Source organism: Homo sapiens, chromosome 10 (assembly GCF_000001405.40).
Source record: "Homo sapiens chromosome 10, GRCh38.p14 Primary Assembly".
NCBI classification, from domain to species: Eukaryota; Metazoa; Chordata; class Mammalia; order Primates; family Hominidae; genus Homo; species Homo sapiens.
Window position 1 is genome coordinate 95055812 of NC_000010.11, and position 25047 is coordinate 95080858.

General features: G+C 37.6%; 1 protein-coding gene across 4 annotated transcripts in view, besides 12 other annotated features; it reads right to left on the reverse strand.

Moving 5' to 3' along the window:
* Positions 1-13686, reverse strand: part of CYP2C8 (cytochrome P450 family 2 subfamily C member 8) — a 32726-nt gene extending 19040 nt beyond the window's left edge. The window contains exons 1-6 of one of the 4 annotated variants that reach the window (NM_001198855.1): positions 13386-13686; positions 12756-12817; positions 11718-11880; positions 11397-11546; positions 8989-9149; positions 2524-2700 (exon numbers count right to left, since the gene is read on the reverse strand). In NM_001198855.1, the coding sequence (NP_001185784.1) occupies positions 2524-2700; positions 8989-9149; positions 11397-11546; positions 11718-11838 (609 nt within the window). In that variant the 5' untranslated portion in view covers positions 11839-11880; positions 12756-12817; positions 13386-13686. The remainder of the gene's footprint in view (positions 1-2523; positions 2701-8988; positions 9150-11396; positions 11547-11717; positions 11881-12755; positions 12818-13385) is intronic. The other 3 variants (NM_000770.3, NM_001198853.1, NM_001198854.1) reach the window with 3 other exon arrangements.
* Positions 13591-16558: a promoter, noted in NCBI's record as "-3 kb promoter fragment". NCBI's record gives the evidence for it as "EXISTENCE:reporter gene assay evidence [ECO:0000049][PMID:15933212]".
* Positions 13728-13746: a protein binding site, noted in NCBI's record as "-154 HRE". NCBI's record gives its function as "positive regulation of promoter activity" and the evidence as "EXISTENCE:protein binding evidence [ECO:0000024][PMID:15933212]".
* Positions 13757-13776: a protein binding site, noted in NCBI's record as "-181 HRE". NCBI's record gives its function as "positive regulation of promoter activity" and the evidence as "EXISTENCE:protein binding evidence [ECO:0000024][PMID:20086032]".
* Positions 15501-15521: a transcriptional cis regulatory region, noted in NCBI's record as "GRE". NCBI's record gives its function as "necessary for induction by glucocorticoids" and the evidence as "EXISTENCE:site-directed mutagenesis evidence [ECO:0005528][PMID:15933212]".
* Positions 15622-15639: a protein binding site, noted in NCBI's record as "-2045 RORE". NCBI's record gives its function as "positive regulation of promoter activity" and the evidence as "EXISTENCE:protein binding evidence [ECO:0000024][PMID:19164466]".
* Positions 15692-15722: a protein binding site, noted in NCBI's record as "DR1-B". NCBI's record gives its function as "positive regulation of promoter activity" and the evidence as "EXISTENCE:protein binding evidence [ECO:0000024][PMID:26467040]".
* Positions 15865-15882: a protein binding site, noted in NCBI's record as "-2289 RORE". NCBI's record gives the evidence for it as "EXISTENCE:protein binding evidence [ECO:0000024][PMID:19164466]".
* Positions 16369-16389: a protein binding site, noted in NCBI's record as "-2796 site". NCBI's record gives the evidence for it as "EXISTENCE:protein binding evidence [ECO:0000024][PMID:15933212]".
* Positions 16369-16389: a protein binding site, noted in NCBI's record as "-2796 site". NCBI's record gives the evidence for it as "EXISTENCE:protein binding evidence [ECO:0000024][PMID:15933212]".
* Positions 22061-22478: an enhancer, noted in NCBI's record as "-8.9 kb to -8.5 kb enhancer fragment". NCBI's record gives the evidence for it as "EXISTENCE:reporter gene assay evidence [ECO:0000049][PMID:15933212]".
* Positions 22379-22398: a protein binding site, noted in NCBI's record as "-8806 site". NCBI's record gives the evidence for it as "EXISTENCE:protein binding evidence [ECO:0000024][PMID:15933212]".
* Positions 22379-22398: a protein binding site, noted in NCBI's record as "-8806 site". NCBI's record gives the evidence for it as "EXISTENCE:protein binding evidence [ECO:0000024][PMID:15933212]".

Consider the following 25047-nt stretch of genomic DNA (forward strand, 5'->3'; position numbering starts at 1 on the left):
AGGTGTGGTGCCTCACAACTGCAATCCCAGTGCTTTGGGAGGGCCAACATGGGTGGACTGCTTGAGCTCAGGAGTTTGAGACCAGCCTAGGAAACATGGTGAAACCAAGTTTGTACAAAAAAAATACAAAAATTAGCTGGGTGTGGGGGTTTGTGCCTGTGCTCCTAGCTACTTGGGAGGCTGAGGTAGGAGAATCACTTGAGACCAAGAGTCAGAGGTTGCAGTGAGCCAAGATGACAGCACTGTACTCCAACCTGAGCAACACAGAGAGGCCTTGTCTCCAAAATAAATAAATAAAATAAAATAAAAATGAACAAGGGCCTTGAATAACATTTCTCTAAAGAACATGTAAAAATGGTAAAAAGCTAATTAATATCATAGGTCAAGTCAAAACCACAATGAAATACCACTTTGCACTGACACAAAAAACAGAAAATTACAAATATTGGCTATAATATGGAAAAGAGGAACCCTCAAACATTGCTGATGGGATTTTAAAATGGTGCATTTACTGTAGAAATGTTTAGTTGTTTCTCAAAAAGTTAAACATAAAATTACCATATGACCCAGAAATAACACTCCTAGGACTATACCCTGGAAAAATGAAAATATATTCATGAAGTAACTTGTATACAAATGTTCATAGCAACATTATTTATAAGAGCCAAAAGGTGAAAATAACACAAATGATCATCAACAGATGAATGATAAGCAAATTGTCATATGTGTACATGAAAATGGAATATTATTGAACCACACAAAACAACAAAGTACTATCACATGCTAAATCTTAGTTGACCCTCCATATCATTATGCTAAGTGAAAGAAGCCAGGAAAAAAGATCACATATGCCATGGGTCAAATGTTATACTCATTATAGGCAAATCCATAAAGATAGTTGATTAATGTTTACTACATGATGGAGTTGGGAATGAGGTGTAACTATTTAATGATATAGTATGTTTCTGTGGAGTGATAAAAAAGTTTTGAAAGTAGAGAGGAATGGTAGTTGTGATGCAGGGCAGGCGAGTCCCAATGTGGAGCTTAGCCTGGGAGGGTTCCTGGCTTTGCCCAGAAAAGAATTCAAAGGCAACTCAGAGGTAGAAGAAAACAGCTTTGTTGAACAGGCAGTGGTACAGCTCTGCGAGGGCTCCTGCAGAGCAGGGCTATGATATAGGCAGAGAGTAGAAGCTCAGGGCAGTTTTGTGGTCATTTTTATACCCACTTTTAATTGCATGCATATTAAGGGACAGTTTGTGCAAGGAAGGGGTCCTATCTTTTGGATCATTGGGTGCCATGGAAAGGGGAGGTAACTCCTGGGTGTTGCCATGGGAATAGTAAATTGACACGGCATACTGGTGGGCAGGAATGATTGAAAGCTGCTTTCATCCTGGCCCTGTTTTAGCTAGCCATCAATCTGGTCCCATGTCCAAGACCCACCTCTGGAGTTGACTCCCACCTCCTACCTCAGTTGCACAGTATTGTAATTAAACAAAATACCATTAAAGTGTACACTTTAAATTGGGTGATATATGGTATATGAATTTCATCTCAATATTTAAAATGTCATAATTTTCTGAATTAATCTATAGATTTAATGCAATCTTAAAATTCCTATGGGCTTGTTTGCAGAAATTGACAAGTTTATTCTTAAATTTTTGTTGCGACTGAATGAACACAAAAAAGCCCAAATAGTCTTGAAAAAAGCTTTGAGGACTCATACTTTTTGATTTGAAAACTTGACACAAAACTACAGTAATTAAGACTTCAAAATGAGGTACTACTGACATAAGGACAGACAGACCAATGGAGTAGAATTGAGAGCCCACAAACAAATCCTCACATTTATACTCAACTGGTTTTTAATGAGGTTGTCAAGACAATTCAATAGGAAAAAATATACTTTTTCAATAAATAGTTCAATGAAAACAGGATTCACTCTCACAGGTTACCTGATAAACATCAACCTCCAACTCCTTTGTGCAAATTCATTTTAGGTTACACTAAATTAAACCTTCTCTCTTCCATCCACCAACTCTTTCCCACCACTCACCTCTCCACAAACTACTCATTCCATCTGAAACCTTTCTTCTGTTCCACACTGAAAATATATTAAGGGCTATGTCAATGTGCAGGGCATACAGGAAGCCCATTTATGATAAGCCATTCTTTTCCATTGTCACATAATCTATGTGCAATATTGATATTCATCTTCAGTTTGTGGTAGGATATTTTGTATTTTCTACTTATTTATAATTGTTTCCATTTGACTGCAGTGTCTATATTATTCTACTCATGTAGATTATTTTTATTTCAAGAAGAGGGTCTATGCATTCTAGCCATTGGACAATTTTGTATTTTCCATGATGTTTAGTGCAGGCCCATAAATACAATAAGTAATTAAGATGCTTGTCAAGCATTACTGGCCTGATCATTTAAACATCCTTAGTAAATTACAGAAGGATTCGATGAATCACAAAATGGACAAGAAATCAAAATACTGATCTGTTGCTAATATCTTACCTGCTCCATTTTGATCAGGAAGCAATCGATAAAGTCCCGAGGATTGTTAACATCCAGTGATGCTTGGTGTTCTTTTACTTTCTCCCTAATGTAACTTCGTGTAAGAGCAACATTTTTAAGCACTTTGTTGTGAGTTCCTGGGAAACAATCAATGAGTAGAGGGAAATTATTGCAGACCTAAAAGAGAAAAGAATATTAAATATAAACATGTCATAAGATATATGTATCTTACACCAAGCCCTGATTGAAATTATAACTATAAATATGAATAAGACATCATGTCCATTTTGAAGGGAAATTTTTATACATATATACATTTTTTATTACACTTTAAGTTCTAGGGTATATGTGCACAAAGTGCAGGTTTGTCACATATGTATACATGTGCCAGGTTGGTGTACTGCACCCAATAACTCGTCATATACATTAGGTATATCTCCCAATGCTATCCCTTCCCCCTCCCCCCACCACACAACAGACCCCAGTGTGTAATGTTCCCCTTCCTGTGTTCAAGTGTTCTCATTGTTCAATTCCCACCTATGAATGAGAATATGCAGTGTTTGGTTTTTTTGTCCTTGTGATAGTATGCTGAGAACGATGGTTTCTAGCTTCATCCATGTCCCTACAAAGAACATGAACTCATCCTTTTTTATGGCTGCATAGATTCCATGGTGTCTATGTGCCACATTTTCTTAATCCAGTCTATCATTGTTGCACATTTGGCTTGGTTCCAAGTCTTTGCTATTGTGAATAGTGCCACAATAAACATACGTGTGCATGTGTCTTTAAAGCAGCATGACTTATAATCCTTAGGGTATATACCCAGTAATGGGATGGCTGGGTCAAATGGTATTTCTAGTTCTAGATCCCTGAGGAATCACCACACTGTCTTTCATAATGGTTGAACTAGTTTACAGTCCCACCAACAGTGTAAAAGTGCTCCTATTTCTCCACATCCTCTCCAGAACCTGTTGTTTCCTGACTTTTTAATGATTGCCATTCTAACTGGTGTGAAATGGTATCTCATTGTGGTTTTGATTTGCATTTCTCTGATGGCCAGTGATGATGAGCATTTTTTCATGTGTTTTTTGGCTGCATAAATGTCCTTTTGAGAAGTGTCTGTTCGTATCCTTTGCCCACTTGTTGATGGGGTTGTTTGGTTTTTTTCTTGTAAATTTGTTTGAGTTCATTGTAGATTCTGGATATTAGCCCTTTGTCAGATGAGTAGATAGCAAAATTTTTCTCCCATTCTGTAGGATGCCTATTCACTCTGATGGTAGTTTCTTTTGCTTTGCAGAAGCTCTTTAGTTTTATTAGGTCCCATTTGTCAATTTTGGCTTTTGTTGCCATTGCTTTTGGTGTTTTAGACATGAAGTCCTTGCCCATGCCTATGTCCTGAATGGTATTGCCTAGGTTTTCTTCTAGAATTTTTATGGTTTTAGGTCTAACATTTAAGTCTTTGATCCATCTTGAATTAATTTTTGTATAAGGTGTAAGGAAGGGATCCAGTTTCAGCTTTCTACATGTGGCTAGCCAGTTTTCCCAGCAACATTTGTTGAATAGGGAATCCTTTCCCCATTTCTTGTTTTTGTCAGGTTTGTCAAAGATCAGATAGTTGTAGATCTGTGGTATTATTTCTGAGGGCTCTGTTTTGTTCCATTGGTCTATATCTCTGTTTTGGTACCAGTACCAAGCTGTTTTGGTTAATGCAGCCTTGTAGAATAGTTTGAAGTCAGGTAGCCTGATGCCTCCAGCTTTGTTCTTTTGGCTTAGGATTGACTTGACAATGCGGGCTCTTTTTTGGTTCCATATGAACTTTAAAGTAGTTTTTTCCAATTCTGTGAAGAAAGTCATTGGTGCTTGATGGGGATGGCATTGAATCTATAAATTACCTTGGGCAGTATGGCCATTTTCATGATATTGATTTTTCCTACCCATGAGCATGGAATGTTCTTCCATTTGTTTGTAGCCTCTTTTATTTTGTTGAGCAGTTGTTTGTAGTTCTCCTTGAAGAGGTCCTTCACGTCCCTTGTAAGTTGGATTCCTAGGTATTTTATTCTCTTTGAAGCAATTGTGAATGGAAGTTCACTCATGATTTGGCTCTCTGTTTGTCTGTTATTGGTGTAGAGGAATGTTTGTGATTTTTGCACATTGATTTTGTATCCCGAGACATTGCTGAAGTTGCTTATCAGCTTAAGGAGATTTTGGGCTGAGATGATGGGGTTTTCTAGATATACAGTCATGTCATCTGCAAACAGGGACAATTTGAGTTCCTCTTTTTCTAACTGAATACCTTTTATTTCTTTCCCCTGCCTGATTGCCTTGGCCAGAACCTCCAACACTATGTTGAATAGGAGTGGTGAGAGAGGGCATCCCTGTCTTGTGCCAGTTTTCAAAGGGAATGCTTCCAGTTTTTGCCCATTCAGTATGATACTGGCTGTGGGTTTGTCATAAATAGCTCTTATTATTTTTAGATACGTCCCATCAATACCTAATTTATTGAGTGTTTTTAGACTGAAGTGCTGTTGAATTTTTTAAAAGGCCTTTTCTGCATCTATTGAGATAATCATGTGGTTTTTGTCTTGGTTCTGTTTATATGCTGGATTACATTTACTGATTTGCGTATATTGAACCAGCCTTGCATCCCAGGGATGATGCCCACTTGATCGTGGTGGATAAGCTTTTTATGTGCTGCTGGATTCAGTTTGCCGTAATTTATTGAGGATTCTTGCATTGATGTTCATCAGGGATATTGGTCTAAAATTCTCGTTTTTTGTTGTGTCTCTGCCAGGCTTTGTTATCAGGATGATGCTGGCCTCATAAAATGAGTTAGGGAGGATTCCCTCTTTTTCTATTGATTGGAATAATTTCAGAAGGAATGGTACCAGCTCCTCCTTGTACCTCTGATAGAATTTGGCTGTGAATCCACCTGGTCCTGGACTTTTTTTGGTTGGTAAGCTGTTAATTATTGCCTCAATTTCAGAGCCTGTTATTGGTCTATTCAGAGATTCAACTTCTTCCTGGTTTAGTCTTGGGAGGGTGTATGTGTGGAGAAATTTATCCATTTCTTCTAGATTTTCTAATTTACTTGTGTAGAGGTGTTTATAGTATGCTCTGATGGTAATTTGTATTTCTGTGGGATCGGTTGTGATATCCCCTTTATCATTTTTTATTGTATCTATTTGAGTTTTCTCTCTTTTCTTCTTTATTAGTCTTCCTAATGGTCTATCAATTTTGTTGATCTTCAAAAAACTAGCTCCTGGATTCATTGATTTTTTGAAGGGTTTTTTGTGTCTCTATTTCCTTCAGTTCTGCTCTGATCTTAGTTATTTCTTGCCTTCTGCTAGCTTTTGAATGTGTTTGTTCTTGCTTCTCTAGTTCTTTCAATTGTGATGTTAGGGTGTCAATTTTAGATCTTTCCTGCTTTCTCTTGTGGGTATTTAGTGCTATAAATTTCCCTCTACACACTGCATTAAATGTGTCCCAGAGATTCTGGTATGTTGTGTCTTTGTTCTCATTGGTTTCAAAGAACATCTTTATTTCTGCCTTCATTTCTTTAGGTACCCAGTAGTCATTCAGGAGCAGGTTGTTCAGTGTCCATGTAGTTGAGTGGTTTTGAGTGAGTTTCTTAATCCTGAGTTCTAGTTTGATTGCGCTGTGGTCTGAGAGACAATTTGTTGTAATTTCTGTTCTTTTACATCTGCTGAGGAGTGCTTTACTTCCAACTATGTGGTCAATTTTGGAATAAGTGTGGTGTGGTGCTGAGAAGAATGTATATTCTGTTGATTAGGGGTGGAGAGTTCTGTAGATGTCTATTAGGTCCGCTTGGTGCAGAGCTGAGTTCAATTCCTGGATATCCTTGTTAACTTTCTGTCTCGTTGATCTGTCTAATGTTGACAGTGGGGTGTTAAAGTCTCCCATTATTGTTGTGTGGGAGTCTAAGTCTCTTTATAGGTCTCTAAGGACTTGCTTGATGAGTCTGGGTGCTCCTGTATTGGGTGCATATATATTTAGGATAGTTAGCTCTTCTTATTGAATTGATCCCTTTACCATTATGTAATGGCCTTCTTTGTCTCTTTTAATCTTTGTTGGTTTAAAGTCTGTTTTATCAGAGATTAGGATTGCAACCCCTGCCTTTTTTTGTTTTCCATTTGCTTGATAGATCTTCCTCCTTCCCTTTATTTTGAGCCTATGTGCGTCTCTGCACATGAGATGGGTTTCCTCAATACAGCACACTGATGGGTCTTGACTCTTTATCCAGTTTCCCAGTCTGTGTCTTTTAATTGGAGCGTTTAACCCATTTACATTTAAGGTTAATATTGTTATGCTTGAATTTGATCCTGTCATTATGATGTTAGCTGGTTATTTTGCTCGTTAGTTGATGCAGTTTCTTCCGAGCCTTGATGGTCTTTACAATCTGATGTTTTTGCAGTGGCTGGTACCGGTTGTTCCTTTCCATGTTTAGTGCTTCCTTCAGGAGCTCTTTTAGGGCAGGCCTGGTAGTGACAAAATCTCTCAGCATTTGCTTGTATGTAAAGGATTTTATTTCTCCTTCACTTATGAAGCTTAGTTTGGCTGGATATGAAATTCTGGGTTGAAAATTCTTTTCTTTAAGAATGTTGAATATTGGCCACCACTCTCTTCTGGCTTGTAGAGTTTCTGCCGAGAGATCCGCTGTTAGTCTGATGGGCTTCCCTTTGTGGGTAACCCGCCCTTTCTCAATGGCTACCCTTAACATTTTTTCCTTCATTTCAACTTTGGTGAATCTGACAATTATGTGTCTTGGAGTTGCTCTTCTCAAGGAGTATCTTTGTGGCGTTCTCTGTATTTCCTGAATTTGAATGTTAGCCTGCCTTCCTAGGTTGGGGAAGTTCTCCTGGATAATACCCTGCAGAGTGTTTTCCAACTCAGTTCCATTCTCCCCGTCACTTTCAGATACACCAATCAGACGTAGATTTGGTCTTTTCACATAGTCCCATATTTCTTGGAGGCTTTGTGCATTTCTTTTTATTCTTTTTTCTCCAAACTTCTCTTCTCGCTTCATTTCATTTGTTTGATCTTCAATCACTGATACCCTTTCTTCCATTTGATTGAATCAACTACTGAAGCTTGTGCATGTGTCACGTAGTTCTCCTGCCATGGTTTTCAGCTCCATCAGGTCCTTTAAGGACTTCTCTGCATTGGTTATTCTAGTTAGCCATTCATCTAATCTTTTTTTAAGGTTTTTAACTTCTTTGCGATGGGTTTGAGCTTCCTCCTTTAGGTTGGAGAAATTTGATCATCTGAAGCCTTCTTCTCTCAGCTCGTCAAAGTCATTCCCCATCCAGCTTTGTTCCGTTGCTGGTGAGGAGCTGCATTCCTTTGGAGGAGGAGAGGCACTCTGATTTTTAGAATTTTCAGTTTTTCTGTTGTGTTTTTCCCCCATCTTTGTGCTTTTATCTACCTTTGGTCTTTGATGATGGTGATGTACAGATGGGGTTTTGGTGTGGATGTCCTTTCTGTTTGTTAGATTTCCTTCTAACAGTCAGGATCCTCAGCCGCGAGTCTGCTGGAGGTCCACTCCAGACCCTGTTTGCCTGGGTATCAGCAGCAGAGGCTGCAGAACAGCAAATATTGCTGAACAGCAAATGTTGCTGCCCGATCGTTCCTCTGGAAGTTTTGTCTCAGAGGGGTACCCAGCCCTGTGAGGTGTCAGTCTGCCCCTACTAGGGGGTGCCTCCCAGTTAGGCTATTCAGGGGTCAGGGACCCACTTGAGGAGACCGTCTGTCCATTCTCAGATCTCATACTCCATGCTGGGAGAACCACTACTCTCTTTAAAGCTGTCAGACAGGGACATTTAAGTGTGCAGAGGTTTCTGCTGCCTTTTGTTCAGCTATGCCCTGCCCCGAGAAGTGGATTCTACAGAGGCAGGCAGGCCTCCTTGAGCTGCAGTAGGCTCCACCCAGATCGAGCTTCCTGGTGGTTTTGTTTACCTACTCAAGCCTCAGCAATGGTGGACACCCCTCCCCCAGCCTCGCTGCTGCCTTGCAGTTGGATCTCAGACTGCTGTGCTGGCAATGAGTGAGGCTTCGTGGGCATGGGACCCTCCAAGCCAGGTGCAGGATATAATCTCCTGGTGTGCCATTTACTAAGACCACTAGAAAAGCACAGTATTAGGGTGGGAGTGACCCAATTTTCCAGGTGCCATCTGTTCACAGCTTTGCTTGGCTAGGAAAGGGAATTCCCTGACCCCTTGCACTTCTGATGGGGAAATTTTTATTGTGCACATATAGCAATTTTCTGTACCTAAAGATTGGAGGCTGAAAATTTTGAACAGGAAATCAAAGGTGGTAATTATTTTCTTCACTCATACATCATTTTTATTGTATAAAAGCATTTTAGTATCAATTTTCTCATTTTTAAACCAAGTCTTCCCTACAACCTTGAATAAATGGTTTCCAAGGAAAATAAAATCTTGGCCTTACCTGGATCCATGGGGAGTTCAGAATCCTGAAGTTTTCATTGAATCTTTTCATCAGGGTGAGAAAATTCTGATCTTTATAATCAAATCGTTTCTGGAAAACAACGGAGCAGATCACATTGCAGGGAGCACAGCCCAGGATGAAAGTGGGATCACAGGGTGAAGCTAAAGATTTAAAAATTTTTAAAAAAATTATTAAAAAATAAATATTTAAAAGATTTGCATTTGTTAAGACATAAAGGAAATTTAGAAATTTTAAACAATATCTTACAAATTCCCCATGTGTCCAAAAAAAATCAGCATGGATGAAATAAACACATTACTTTTACCTTAAATATGAGTTGAGCATTACAGGCTAGCTAAACAATGTCATTTCGCATGTGGTTATTCACATCCACTGCCTTTATTTAAACTCTTTTAACCCCAAGTGTCTTTTATTTTGGAAGGAAAAAGAAGACTTTTTTGAAATCCTAATAATTCAAGTTTTTAGAGCAGAATCATGTCTGTTTGCAAAGCCTCTGGACAATAAAACACAGAGATAGGAAGAGAAAAGTTGGGGACCTAGAAATGTCATATAGCTGAAAGTATAATGTGCTGAACCAATGGGAATAAAGTTAGGGAGATTGTGGGTGAATTCATGTGTTTTAGGGAACAAATGTGAAAAGCAAGTACATCCATATGATATGAGAAGAAAAACTAATATAAATGAGCATTAAGTATAACAGATTTGTTTATCTAAATAAGTAAAATGCTAACTTTTTATTTCAAATCTAAATCCCAGTAAAGCTAACCAAAAAGTAAATTGATAAATGGAATCTTTTTATTTATTTTTTCAATTTGTAAAAAATGAATTTCCTTCCTTTGGAAATAATGTTTATCATTTCCAATCATCTTCCAAATTTAATTCATTTGGGCAAAACTACTCTTGTGGATTCTGGGATATTATTCAGTATAGTCATCAAGATAAGTATGTTTTAATAAAGTTTTAAATTTGACCATAAGTTAGGCCAAATCTGTAATTTTACAGGTAAAGAAATTATTAAAAAGGCTTTTATTCGGTGAAGGAATCTCTAAAATGAAATTGCTGTAACCAAGTGACTAGTGAACATAAATGGAAAGGGTGCCCAAATTCACATCTATAGGTCCTAAATAAGAGTGACACGAAATGAAAGGGTTGTGAATAAAGTTGGAACATTGAACAACAAGAAACCTGCTGAGTTAGCTGCTTCTATGCCAGACTCCTTTAAACATTACAGGGCTCTAAAGTTTCAGAAAAACTGTTGTTTTAGCCAAGGGGGTGAAAGGTAATTTGGGAAGCCTTGGTGAGAGAGAGAGAGAGAGAGAGAGAGAGAGAGAGAGTGTGTGTGTGTGTGTGTGTGTGTGTGTGTGTGTGTTTCTCAGGTACAATCTGATATCCAGGTTTTTTTTTTTTTACTGCATTTGGGAGAGTGAATTTAAAAAGGTAATTTTATATCCCAGCTGATAATCAGATTGATTATAACAAGCACTTCATAGGTGAGTAAATTGGCAGTGGGAGAAAAATGATTAGCACAAATTTCAAAGCTAAGAACCAATACAGGGGAAAAAAGATGACAAAACTGAAAACATAGCCAAATTACATTTAAAGAAGACAGGATAAAGAGTTTTTCATAATAGTTAAAATCTAGTTAAACAAATTATTTACAAATTAGTGTTTGTGTATTTGCTGAGTTATACTATAGATTATATTTACTTAAAATATATTAATTGCTACAGTAAGTAGTGGTTAACAAGAAATAATTAATCCTGACAGTTTTCAAATAGTACTGTGTTTCCCGAGAAATAAGAACTGATGAAAACTGTACTGAGATATACCTAAGCAAGTAAAACCATACATAGTGTCATTGCTGGCCAGAGCTGTAGGCATGGACCTGGAAGGAATTTCCAGACATGTGAGTATGACCATATGAAAAAACTCGAATTAAATGAAAGCACATATAACTTGGTTCATATTTCATGAAGTGTGATGAGGTCACTTTCACCATGTCCACTTTCCAAGTGTTCTCTGGTGAAATGTTCTGGTGGAGGTAATGCAGATTTATGCTATGGGGGAAACCTTCTTTAACTCTTCAAAAATGAACTCAAGACCCTTATTTATAATTTCTGATTTGAAAACAAGGAAACAAAATTGAGCAGAAAATAGGATTAAATGACCTTTTATTCCTACACCCTATGAACCAACACATTTATACAGGCAAAGCACAGATACACAAAACCTCCCTTGTCTCTGTGCTTCAAATCTCCCTCCACCACCTGAGGGCTGACAACCAGGATGCGCAATGAAGACCTGGCCACCCCTGAAATGTTTCCAAGGACGTCACTAGTGAAGACAGGTAACTGTTAAGGTCAATGACGCAGAGTAGAGTCACCCACCCTTGGTTTTTCTCAACTCCTCCACAAGGCAGTGAGCTTCCTCTTGAACACGGTCCTCAATGCTCCTCTTCCCCATCCCAAAATTCCGCAAGGTTGTGAGGGAGAAACGCCGGATCTCCTTCCATCTCTTTCCATTGCTGGAAATGATTCCTAATAAAAAAAGGGGCAGAAACTGGGAGAATTCACAGCCAAGGAAGAAAGTGCTGCAACACTTGGCAGCCATGCAGATAGGCTAAGCTCTGCTGAGAAGCTTTTTAGGGCTCTGTTTTCCATCCCCCTCACCCCAGTTACCAAAGCTGACACAGAAATATGTGCACCTACCAAGTCCTTTAGTAATTCTTTGAGATATTGGGGAATTGCCTCTTCCAGAAAACTCCTCTCCATTATCAATCAGGGCTTCCTTCACTGCCTCATATCCATGAAACACCACTATGGGATTCATGCCAAAATACACGGTGAACACAGGACCATAGACTTTTGAGAACTGGGAAAGGAAATGCAAATAGCAGCAAAATAAGTCGCTATTTGCTCCAAATACTATGTATGATTCAGACTGACATTTTCATTGTATTTTTTAATGTTCATATTTGCCACACATAGATTCGATATTTCTGAATTTTGTACATAAATGTGATGGTGATTGTTATAGCTGCCACTTATAGATGGCCTGTGATGTGCCACGCAATGACCCAGGCAATTGGTACACAAATCACACAGTTCATCCTCACTTCAACACATTCAGCACATTCATTTGACCTGTTTTAAAAATGAAGAAACTGAGGCCAGAGAATTGCAGATTCATTCTCAGAGTCCCACAGGTAATATGTAGAAGCTCCAAACTGGAATCTCTGCTAATTTAAACTGATGCTTGAGCAATTAATCAATCCCCCATGTCCACCTTGAGGCCACTACCCAGCTAAAGACTTCAGGGTCACTTGTAAAGCTCTTAACATGAGGATTCTGATACAGCAGTCCTGTGATGAACCCTAGAAATCTGTATTTACAGTGTCACCCCAGGTGATTCTAATGCCCAGTCCAGTTTGTAACTGCTGGTATTACCAATATGGAACGATGAAGCACCACAAAGTTAGAATCAGGACATTCAGCATCTCCTGGAAGAACAATTTCTTCCATTCTCCAGCAACCTTGGCCACAGACAGTGGCTTTCTTCAGAATCCAAAAGAATTCTGTTAACTACCTATTGGGCCCTGACTGATTACTTCTTTCTTTCATGCACTTATGTTTGCCCTGAACCCACAGATATTTATTTCACATCAGCCATCAAATGAATCTTCAGAGAAGTTCAATTTTCATGACCATTCTGAATAAAACACATGACTACTATAGTAGAGAACTTATTGGATGAAATTTCTAATCACACACACTTCCCTTCACCTTCAGTCAAAAATCATAGCAAAACACTGTGAAACAAAGAGGAGAAACAGCACTTTAAACTTTTGCCACTGTATTAAATGATTATATAATACAATGACCCCAATGTTTCTGTATTCACAAAATGCATCAACTCACTCCGCTATTTCTGACAATGACAGACTTAGAAAGACAAAAGAGGCCAGGTACGGTGGCTCACACATGTAATCCCAGCACTTTGGGAGGCCAAGGCAGGCAGATCATGAGGTCAGGAGACTGAGACCATTCTGGCTAACACGGTGAAACCCTGTCTCTACTAAAACATACAAAAAATTAGCCGGGCATGGTGGAGGGCACCTGTAGTCCCAGTTACTCGGGGGAGGCTGAGGCAGGAGAATGGTGTGAACCTGGGAGGCAGAGCTTGCAGTGAGTGGAGATAGTGCCACTGCACTCCAGCCTGGGCAATAGAGCGAGACTCCGTCTCAAAAAAAAAAAAAATAGGAAGACAAAAGAAACATCAAAGAAGTTCAGAGGGAGTATTTTGCTTTACAATGATCTATTATAATAGTGTGCTTCCAGGAATATATTTTGTCTAAAAATAGCAGTCAAATAACTTACCCTTTGCAATTGGCTGGAGGAACATAAGGCAGACTTACATTGGTGAAAGATTTGCAGATGTCCTTAACATCTATCTGTAGCATATTTCCAATAATAGGAAGAGGAGTGGGGCCAGGAGGGAGCTTCCTTCTCCTACAGCTCTGTCTCCAGAGTGAAAAGAGAAGCATAAAAGAGAGACACAGCACCAGGACCACAAAAGGTTCCATTGAAGCCTTCTCTTCTTATTAAGACAGCTGTGAGCTTGCACTCCAAAGTTTTTATAACACTCCCTGCTAATTTAGTGTGTGTCTCTTTGACATGTAAAGTAAACAATCACCTAGATCCAATTTATACTTTTTTTCTGAGTGGACTTTGGCCCATGGATAGAAATAAAATGTTCTTTTGTCCTACTCCTTCTTTCCAGTGCCAATCTAGGAGATTCTGGTTTAATTGTATTGGATTGGAGCCCAGGTATTTTTAATTAAAAGTCCCTGGTTGTTCCAATGTGCTGTGATGATGGAGAAACACTGAAGTAAATGATTCTATGTTAGAATATACTCAAAATTCAATATTCTCAGATTAATGACCAGTTGGGAATTTATGACCTTGAGGGAAATCAGTGTATTCTATATTTTGTGTATAAAAAATGTACATTGTAATGCTATATCAAAAAATAGGAGACTTAGCCCTTGATAACAAAAGCCTTTCAAATATTTAGTATAGTTCACTTAAAATACAGCTGCCTAAACATGAAATAGTGAATATAACTCATACATGTTGAATTACCATACATATATCAAATTATTAGCTAATAAATGTATATTTATATATATTTAAATGTATATAAACAATATACATAAATATATATGTTATTACATAATAATATTTGTGTTATTATTACATTATTATAATAATAGGTGATTATTTACTTTACATGTCAAAGAGACAAACTGAATTAGCAGGGAGTGTTACATACATTATTACATAATAATAACATAAATACATATTTATACTATTAAATATTATATTAAATATATAAAAGTATATATATAAATGTATATTCATCATTAAAAGAGACTGGAGTATAAAGATTATCATTTTTTATTTTTCAAATTGGGAAAGAAACTCTGGGAGAACAGGACACCTGTCAGTGCCACACAGCTCATTGCCGGTAAAACCGGGATTTGAGCAGAGATCTTCTGATACCCATTGGGGTTCATTACCACTTACACCACAGCTGGCTCAAGAACAATTTTAGAAAAACAAAACAAACCCCAGACATTAGTTACTCTGAAGATACGCCACCTTGACTCTGTTCAGAAAGCAACAGGCTTCACATTAAATAGAAGTCCGTTATTTGTTTATAAGGATAAGAGGACCGGAGACGCTCAAAAGAAGAAATAAAAATTAGAGTTCTCCCCTCTGCATCACCTCACAAGTGAAAGTTGTTCAGCACTATTAAGGAAAGGGCCAATCTCACATAATTTATGGCACAGGGCTTGAAAATCTATGGCTTCTCCACCTTCCAGTCACCTCCAGACATGGCTGCTTCTATTGTTTTTGGTCTGTTATTGTTACAAATAATAGAATGTAATCATACACAGCAAGGAAGAGAAATTATACACAGAACAACAGTTGTGGATTCAACAGAAGATGGAACACAGGGAAATCACTGAATGGACCCAGGGCACAGAACCACTGCAATGTGCAGACCTGAAATGGGAACTGATAGTCAATGGTCATGAAGATCTAAATACAACTGGATTTATGAACATTACTAGATCACTAATAACAAAGTGTGTATACAAAGGCATGCTCTGAAAAGATTACCTTTATTCTAAATTGACCAGTACAGTTATTTCCAGCTCTTTCATTAAGAAAATATTAAGACCCAGTTATACAATGTTTTATCGATTATGTTTATAGACATTATGACAAATTTACAGAGAATTTTCACACTCATCACATCTCTTTTTATTCTCTCAATTATCTTTGCCCACTGTAAAATTATTCCCAGTTTAGAGAGGAGAAAGTTAGACCATGGAGATTCAGTACTTTAGCTAAGGACACACAGAATGCAAGTGACCAAGCTGGGGCTGGAAACCATAACCCCTGCATCTTGCTGCCTTCCTTTTAAGCAAAACATCCAGTTAAACCGGGCCACCAAGATTGACTAAAATTCAATACTTGTGGATTAATCTAATCAGTGACTTTCAAAATAAACATTAATTTAGTTAATAATTCTAGCACCAGTTGAGTAAAATGTGGGTCAGACGTGTTTGGTTTTATAACCTTTAAAAGGTGAGTGAGTCCAGGTCCTGGTGAACCCTTTATCCAGGGCAAAGGGAAGTAGTAATTTGCTGCCTCACTCACGTAGGTATAAGCTAGTTTATTTGGATAAAATAAGTTCACTTTCTCTCTTTAGAGCAATAATTTTATTCCTTGAGAAACAGTTGCCCTTGCTCTGCTCCTTGTTTCTTCTCCTGAGCTGAGGCTCCTGCCTTGACCTTTCTTTTTATAGAATAAAAGGAACATAGATAATTTAAAGACAGACGGGATCTCTGAGATCTACTAATTTAATTTTGCTTTGTTTTTCAGGAATGAGCAATTGGTGACTCAGTGAGTTAGAGCATTATCAATGCACCAGTAAAAGATTTTGTATTAGAATCCCAGTTTTCCTGCTTGGTGGTTCAGTGAAATACCCTATCCTATAGAATTCCCACCTAAGTCCAAATGATCAAGAGTGTATTAGCATTAATTAAGCCCTCTACAGTCACAGATTGACACCCACCTCAGCTTGGATAGGGTTGTGAATTAGAGCGGGGTTTTTTTTTAATTAATAGAATTTATTTTTATAGCAATTTTAGGCTCCGAGCAACAGTTCCCACAAACCCCTTCACCACACCTACAAATAGTCTTTCCCACAATCAACAACCCCCATCAGTGGGGTTCATTAGTTACAGTCAGTGAGCCAACAATAAGACATAATCATCAACCAAAGTTCGAAGTTCACATAGGGTTTACTGTTTGTGTTGTACATTCTATAAATTTGACTGATGTATAATGCCATATATCCACCATCGTAGCATCATACAGAATAGATTTGCTGTCCTAAAAACCCCCCATGCTCTGCGTATTCTCTCCCTTCCATGCAAGTCCTTGGTAACAAGTGAACCACAGTTCACTTTAGTGTTGCCATGGTTTTGCCTTTACTATAAGAGATTGTTATATAGTTGGAATCACACAGTATGTAGCCTTTTCAGGCAGGTTTCCATCACTTATTAATATGCAGAAGGTTTCTCCATGTCGTCTCATGGCTTGAAAGCTCATTTCTTCTTACCACCAAATAGTAATATAATAATATTCCCTTGCATTGATGTACCACAGTTTATCTGTTCATCTAGTGAAGGATATCTTGGTTGCTTCCAATTTTGGCAATAATGAATAAAGATGCTATAAATGTCCTTGTGCAAGTTTTGTGTGGACATATGTTTTCAACTCATTTGGCAAATATCAAGGAGCACAACTGCTGGATCATATGGTAAGCATATTTTAGTTTTGTAAAAGCCACCAAACTCTCTTCCAGAGTGTCTGTGACATTTTGCATTCATATCAGCAATAACTAATAGTTCCCATTGCTTCAAATCCTTGCCAACATTTGGTTTTATCAGTGCCTTAGATGTTCATTATTATAAAGGTATGTGTCATTGTTGTCTTCGTTTGCAGGCCCCTAATTATGTGTAATGTTGAACAGTTTTCATGCTTATTTGACATCTGTTTATCTTCATGGGTGGGGTGTCTGTTCAAATCTTTTGCCCATGTTTCTATTGAGGGTGTCCACTTTTTTGTTGCTGAGCTTTAAGAGTTCTTTGGGTATTTTGGATGACAGTGTTTTATTCTTATAAAGATATATTCTTGTATCTTTTGGAACTATTATTCCTCTTTTAGCTGGACTTCTCCCTCCCTTGATAGTGTCTTTTACAGAGTAAAACTTTTTTTTTGTTTTAACAAAGTTCGGATTATTGATTTGTTCTTTCATGGATTGTGCACTTGTTGTTGTATTTGAAAAACCATTGCCAAGGTCTTCTATATTTTCTCCTATGTTATCTTCTCAGAGTTTTATAGTTTTGTGTTTCACATTTAGTTCTATAAACAATTTGGAGTTAACTTTTGTGAAAAGTGTAAGATTTACATCTAGATTCTTATTTTTGCTAAAACATTTTAAGACAAATGGGACTTAATTAAACTAAAAAGCTTCTGCACAGCAAAGAAATAATTAACAGAGTAAACAGACAACCTACAAAATAGAGTAAAATATTTGCAAACTGTGCATTCAAAAAAGAGCTAATATCCAGAATTTATAAGGAACTCAAACAAGTCAATAAGACAAAACAAATAACCCCATTAAAAACTGGGCAAAGTTCCAATTGTCACAGGATATTGTTGCATTTGTTTTAGAGGTCTTAGTTATGAATTATTTGCCTAGGCCAATGTCAGAATTTTTCCTAGGTTTTCTTCTATGATTTTTATGGTTTTAGGTCTCATATTTGTCTTTAATCCATCTTAAGTTAATTTTGATATGTAGTAAGAATTAGGGGCCCAATTTCATTCTTCTGTTTATGGCGAGCTAATTTTCCCAGCACCATTTATTGAATAGGGTGTCCTTTCCACAGTGTATATCTTTGTTAACTTTGCCAAAGATCTGTTGGCCATAGGTATGTGGCTTTATCTATGGGTTTTCTATTCTGTTCTAATATAGGAGTAAGGATTTCACATTATTTTTTGTAAGGTTTACAGTAGAGAGACTCTCTTTGTTTTTGAATTCATTTAATTTTTTTCTTTAATTTTTAATTTCTGTGGGTACATAGTCAGTGTACTTATTTATGGAGTATATGAGATGTGTTGATACAGGCATGTAATGTGTAAAAATCACATCACAAAAAATAGAATATCCATCCCCTCAAGCATTTATCCTTTGAGTTACAATATAATTATGCTCTTTTAGTTATTTTAAAAGGTACAATTCAATTATTAATGACTATAATCACTCTGGTTTTCTATCAAATAGTAGGTCTTTTATTTTAACTATTTTTTTGCATTCATTAAGCACCCCAGATACCCCCACCCTCCCACTACCCTTCCCAGCCTTTTGTAACTATGAGAGAGTAACTTCTCTAATAGACAGTAGAGTTACCAGAGGATGGGAAGGGTAGTGGGAGAATGGGGGGTATGAAATGAGTTAAATTTCTTTGATTTTTAGAACCCACAAATAAGTGAAAACAAGCAATGTTCATCTTTCTGTGTCTGGCTTATTTCACTTAACATAGTGATCTCCAGTTGCATCTAAGTTGTTGCAAATGACTGGATCTCATTCTTTTTTTATGGCTGAATAGAACTTCTTTGTGTATATATGCCACATTTTCTTTATCCATTCGTCTGTTGATGGACACTTAGGTTGATTCCAAATCTCGGCTATTGTGAGCAGTACTGTGACAAACATAGGAATGCAGTTATCTCTTTGACACACTGATTCCCTTTCTTTAGGGTATACACCCAGCAATGGGATTGCTGGATCATATGGTAGCTCTATTTTTAGTTTCCAAGAAACCTCTAAACTGTTCTCTCATAGTGGTTGTAGTAATTTACCTTCCCACCAACAGTGTATGAGGGCTCCCTTTTCTCCACATTCTCTTTATTTGTTATTGCCTGTCATTTGGATATAAGCCATTTTCACTGAAGTGAGATGATATCTCATTGTAGTTTTAATTTGCATTTCTCTGATGATCAATGTTAAGCACATTTTTATATGCCTATTTGCCATTCATACATCTTCTTTTGAGAAATATCTATTCGAGTGTTTTGCCCATTTTTTGATCAGATTATTAAATATTTTTCTACAGAAATGTTCAAGCTCCTTATATATTCTGGTTACTAATCTTGTGTCAGATGGGTAGTTTGCAAATATTTTCTCCCATTCTGTGGGCTGTGTCTTCACTTTGTTGATTGTTTTATTTATTATGCAAAAGTGTTTTAACTTGATGTGATCTAATTTGTCCACTTTTGCTTTGGTTGTCTGTGCTTGTGGGGTATAGCTCAAGAAATCTTTGCCCAGACCAATGTGTTGGAGATTTTCCTCATTGTTCTCTTGTAGTATTTTCATAGTTCGAGGTCTTAGATTTAAGTCTTTAATCCATTTAGATTTGATATTTGTATATGATTATAGATAGAGGTCTAGTTTCATTCTTCTGCATATGGATATCCAGTTTTCCTAGCACCATTTATTGAAAAAACTGTCTCTTCCCCAGTGTATGTTCTTAGCACATTTGTCAAAAGTGACTTCACTGTAGTTGTGTAAATTTGTCTCTGGATTCTCTATTCTGTTCTATTGGTTTATGTGTCCTTTTTTTATGCCGGTACCATGTTGTTTGGGTTACTCTAACCTTGTAGTAAAATTTGAAGTCAGGTAATGTGGTTCTTCTGATTTTATTATTTTTGTTTAGAATAGCTTTTGCTATTCTAGGTCTTTTGTAATTCCTTATAAACTTTAGGATAGTTTTTTTGTCTATTTCTGTGAAGAATGACATTTTTTTTGGTAGTGATAGCATTGAATCTGTAGATTTCTTTGGGTAGCAAGAATATTTTAACAATATTGATTCTTCCATTCCATGAACATGAAATATCTTTTCATTTGTTCCCTGTTCTCTTCAATTTTTTAAATTAGAGTTTTACAGTTTTTTTATAGAGATCTTTCTCTCATACTATTAAGTTAATTCCTAGATCTTTAATTTTGTTTGTGACTATTGTAAATGAGGTTACTTTTTAATTTTTTTTCAGGTTGTTCACTGTTGACATATAAAAAGACTACTTATTTTTGTATGTTGATTTTGTATCATGCAACTTTACTAAATTTCTAAATCAGTTCTAATAGCTTTTTTAGGTGGAATCTTTTGGTATTTCCAACTATAAGATTATACCATCTGCAACAAGGGTAATTTGAATTTGTCCTTTTCCATTCAAATGCCCTTTATTTCTTTCATTTGTCTGATTACTCTAGCTAGGACTTCCAATATTATGTTGAATAACAGTGGTGAAAATAAAAATAGGCATTGTTTTTAAACTCTAGATCTTAGAGAAAAACCTATCAATTTTTCCTCTTTAAGTAAGATAATAGCTATCATAATTAATAGTTCCATCATATATGAGTTTTACTGTGTTGAGTTTTATTTCCTTTATTCCCCGTTTTTTGAGGGTTTTTATCATGAAAGGATGTTGAACTTTATCAAATGATTTTCCAGCATCAATTGAAATGATCACATAGTTTTCATTCTGTTGACAGGATGTATCACATTAATTGACTTGCATAAGTTAAACTATCTTTCCATCCCAGGGATAAATCCCACTTGATCACGATGAATGGTCCTTTTAAAATATTGCTGAATTCAGCTTGCTAGCATTTTGTTGAGAATTTTTGCATCAATATTCATCAGCAAAATTGGCCTATAGTTTTTTCTTTTTGATATGTTTTTGCCTGGTTTTATTGTCAGGGTTACACTGGCTTTGTAGAATGAGCTTGGAAGTATTCCCTCCTGCTCTATTTTTTTTGGGGGGGCATAGTTTGAGTAGAATTGGTATTAGTTGTTTTTTAAATGTTTGGTGGGATGCAGTGGTGAAGCTTTCGGGTCCAGGGCTTCTCTTTACAGGAAGATTTTTAATACAACTTTGATCTCATTACTTGTTATTGACATGTCAGGCTTTAGATTTCTTCATGTTTCAATCTTGATAGATTGTATATGTCTAGGAATTTGTCCACTTTTTCTAAGTTTTTCAATTTATTGACTTATAGTTGCTCACAGTAACCACTAATGATCCTTTAAATTTCTGCAGTATCAGTTGTTAGGTCTCTTTTTTCATCTCTGATTTCATTTATTTGGGTCTTCTCTTTTTAAAATTAATCTTGCTAGAGGTTTTTCAGTTTTGTTTAACCTTCCAAAATCAATGTTTTGCTAATTCATCTTCTATATTATTTTCTTTTCAATTTAATTTATTTCTGTTTTGATCTTTATTATTTCTTTTCTTCTAGTTTTGGCTTTCATTTGCTCTTGCTTTTCTTGTTCTTTAAGATGCATTGTTATGATTATTTATAGGAAGGTTTTCCTCTTTTTTTGATGTAGGCACTTACAGCTATAAACTTCCTCTTAGTACTGCTTTTGCTGTATCTCATAGGTTTTGTTATGTTGTGTTTCTATTATCATTTATTTCAAGAAATTTTCAATTTTCTTCTAAATTTCTTCATTGACCCACTGGTCATTCAGGAGCACACTGTTTAATTTTCATATATTTGTATATTTTCCAAGATTCCTCTGTTATTGACTTCCAGTTTTACTTTACTGTGGCCATAGAAGTTGGTTTATATTATTTCAATTATTTTTGAATGTTTTAAGACTTGTTATGTGACTTAAGATATGGTCTATTATTGAGAATAATCCATGTGCTGAGGAAAAGAGTATGTGTTCTAGAGTGATTATATAAAACCTTTTGTAAATATCTATTATATCCATTTGATGTGTAGTGCAGATTATGTCAGATGTCTCCCCTCCCCTCCCCTCCCCTGCCCTCCCCTCCCTCTCCCTCCCCCTTCCTTTCCCTTCCCTTCCCTTCCCTCTTTTTCTTTTCTTCTTCTTTTTTTTTTTTTTGGGTAGAAACATTGTCTCAGTATGTTGCCAGGCTGGTCTCAAACTCCTGAGCTCAAGTAATCTGTTCACTCTGGCCTCCCAAAGTGCTGGGATTACAGGTGTGAGCCACTGTACCCAGCCTCTTTGTTTACTGTCTGTCAAGTGGACCTATCCAATGTTGAAAGTAAAGTGTTGAAATCTCCAGCTATTATTGTATTAAAGTTTACCTTTCTATATATCTAAAATCATATTTGCTTTACATATCTGGGTGCTCCAGTGTTGGATGCATATATATTAAAAATTCTCATATCATCTGTCTCAATTGTCTCCATTATCATTAAATGGGGTCATCAAAGTTGACTTATTTGTTTCTTCTTACAGTTTTTTTTTCTTCTTATAGTTTTTGTCTTAAAATCTATTTAGTCTGATATTAGTATGGCTACACCTGCTCTTTTTTGGGTTCCAATGGCATGGAATATATTTTTCCATTTTTTTACATTCAGTCTATGTGTGTCTCTATAGGTGAAGTGTGTTTCTTGCAGGCAACGGTCAATAGATCTTGCTTTTTCCTCCATTCAGCCACTCTGTGTTTTGATTGGATGGTTTATTCCATTTACATTCAATGTTATTATTGATAAGTAAGGACTTACTCCTTCCATTTTCTCATTTGTTTTCTGGTTGTTTTGTGGTCTTCTTTCCTTCCTGTCTTCCTTCTAGTGAAGGTGATTTTCTCTGTTGATACAGTTTAGTTTCTTGCTTTCTATTTTTTTTGTATCCATTTTATGTATTTTGACTTGAGATTCCCACATGGACTTGCAAATACTGTCTCAGTACCCACTATTTTAACCTGATAAAAATGTAACACTGTTTAGATAAACAAACAAACAAGCAAAAATGAACTAATAAAAGTTCTACACCTCAACTTCCTCCACCTGCTTTTTAACTCTTTGTAGTATCTATTTATATCTTACAGCACTGCCTATTTCTTGAAAAAGTTGTTGTAGTTATTATTTTTGATTGGCTCATCATTCAGCCTTTCTACATAAGATAAGAGTAGTTTATGGCTGGGCACAGTGGCTCATGCCTGTAATCCCAGCACTTTGGAGGCCAAGGCAGGTGGATCACAAGGTCAGGAGATCGAAACCATCCTGGCTAACACAGTGAAACCCCATCTCTACTAAAACATACAAAAAATTAGCTGGGCATGTTGGCAGGCACCTGTAGTCCCAGCTACTCAGGAGGCAAAGGCAGGAGAATGGCATGAACCCAGGAGGCAGAGCTTGCAGTGAGCCGAAATCGCTCCACTGCACTCCAGACTGGGCGACAGAGTGAGAGTCTGTCTCAAAAAAAAAAAAAAAAAGAGAAATCGGGGGAGGAGCCAAGATGGCCAAATAGGAACAGCTCCGGTCTACAGCTCCCAGCGTAAGCGACGCAGAAGACGGGTGATTTCTGCATTTCCATCTGAGGTACCAGGTTCATCTCACTAGGGAGTGCCAGACAGTGGGAGCAGGTCAGTGGGTGCACGCACCGTGCACGAGCCGAAGCAGGGTGAGGCATTGCCTCACTCGGGAAGCACAAGGGATCAGGGAGTTCCCTTTCCTAGTCAAAGAAAGTGGTGACAGACGGCACCTGGAAAATTGGGTCACTCCCACCCAAATATTGTGCTTTTCCGATGGGCTTAAAAAACGGCGCACCAGGAGATTATATTCCGCACCTGGCTCAGAGGGTCCTACGCCCACAGAGTCTTGCTGACTGCTAGCACAGCAGTCTGAGATCAAACTGCAAGGTGGCAGCAAGGCTGGGGGAGGGGCGCCTGCCATTGCCCAGGCTTGCTTAGGTAAACAAAGCAGCCAGGAAGCTCCAACTGGGTGGAGCCCACCACAGCTCAAGGAGGCCTGCCTGCCTCTGTATGCTCCACCTTGGGGCAGGGCACAGACAAACAAAAAGACAGCAGTAACCTCTGCAGACTTAAATGTTCCTGTCTAACAGCTTTGAAGAGAGCAGTGGTTCTCACAGCACGCAGCTGGAGATCTGAGAATGCGCAGACTGCCTCCTCAAGTGGGTCCCTGATCCCTGACCCCTGAGCAGCCTAACTGGGAGGCACCCCCAGCAGGGGCAGACTGACACCTCACACGGCCGGGTACTCCAACAGACCTGCAGCTGAGGGTCCTGTCTGTTAGAAGGAAAACTAACAAACAGAAAGGACATCCACACCAAAAACCCATCTGTACATCACCATCATCAAAGACCAAAAGTAGATAAAACGACAAAGATGGGGAAAAAACAGAGCAGAAAAACTGGAAACTCTAAAAAGCAGAGCACCTCTCCTCCTCCAAAGGAATGCAGTTCCTCACCAGCAACAGAACAAAGCTGGATGGAGAATGACTTTGACGAGCTGAGAGAAGAAGGCTTCAGATGATCAAATTACTCCGAGCTACAGGAGGACATTCAAACCAAAGGCAAAGAAGTTGAAAACTTTGAAAAAAATTTAGAAGAATGTATAACTAGAATAACCAATACAGAGAAGTGCTTAAGGGAGCTGATGGAGCTGAAAACCTAGGCTCGAGAACTACATGAAGAATGCAGAAGCCTCAGGAGCCAATGCGATCAACTGGAAGAAAGGGTATCAGCGATGGAAGACGAAATGAATGAAATGAAGTGAGAAGGGAAGTTTAGAGAAAAAAGAGTAAAAAGAAACGAGCAAAGCCACCAAGAAATATGGGACTATGTGAAAAGACCAAATCTGCGTCTGATTGGTATACCTGAAAGTGACAGGGAGAATGGAACCAAATTGGAAAACACTCTGCAGGATATTATCCAGGAGAACTTCCCCAATCTAGCAAGTCAGGCCAACATTCAGATTCAGGAAATACAGAGAACGCCACAAAGATACTCCTCGAGGAGAGCAACACCAAGACACATAATTGTCAGATTCACCAAAGTTGAAATGAAGGAAAAAATGTTAAGGGCAGCCAGAGAGAAAGGTCGGGTTACCCTCAAAGGGAAGCCCA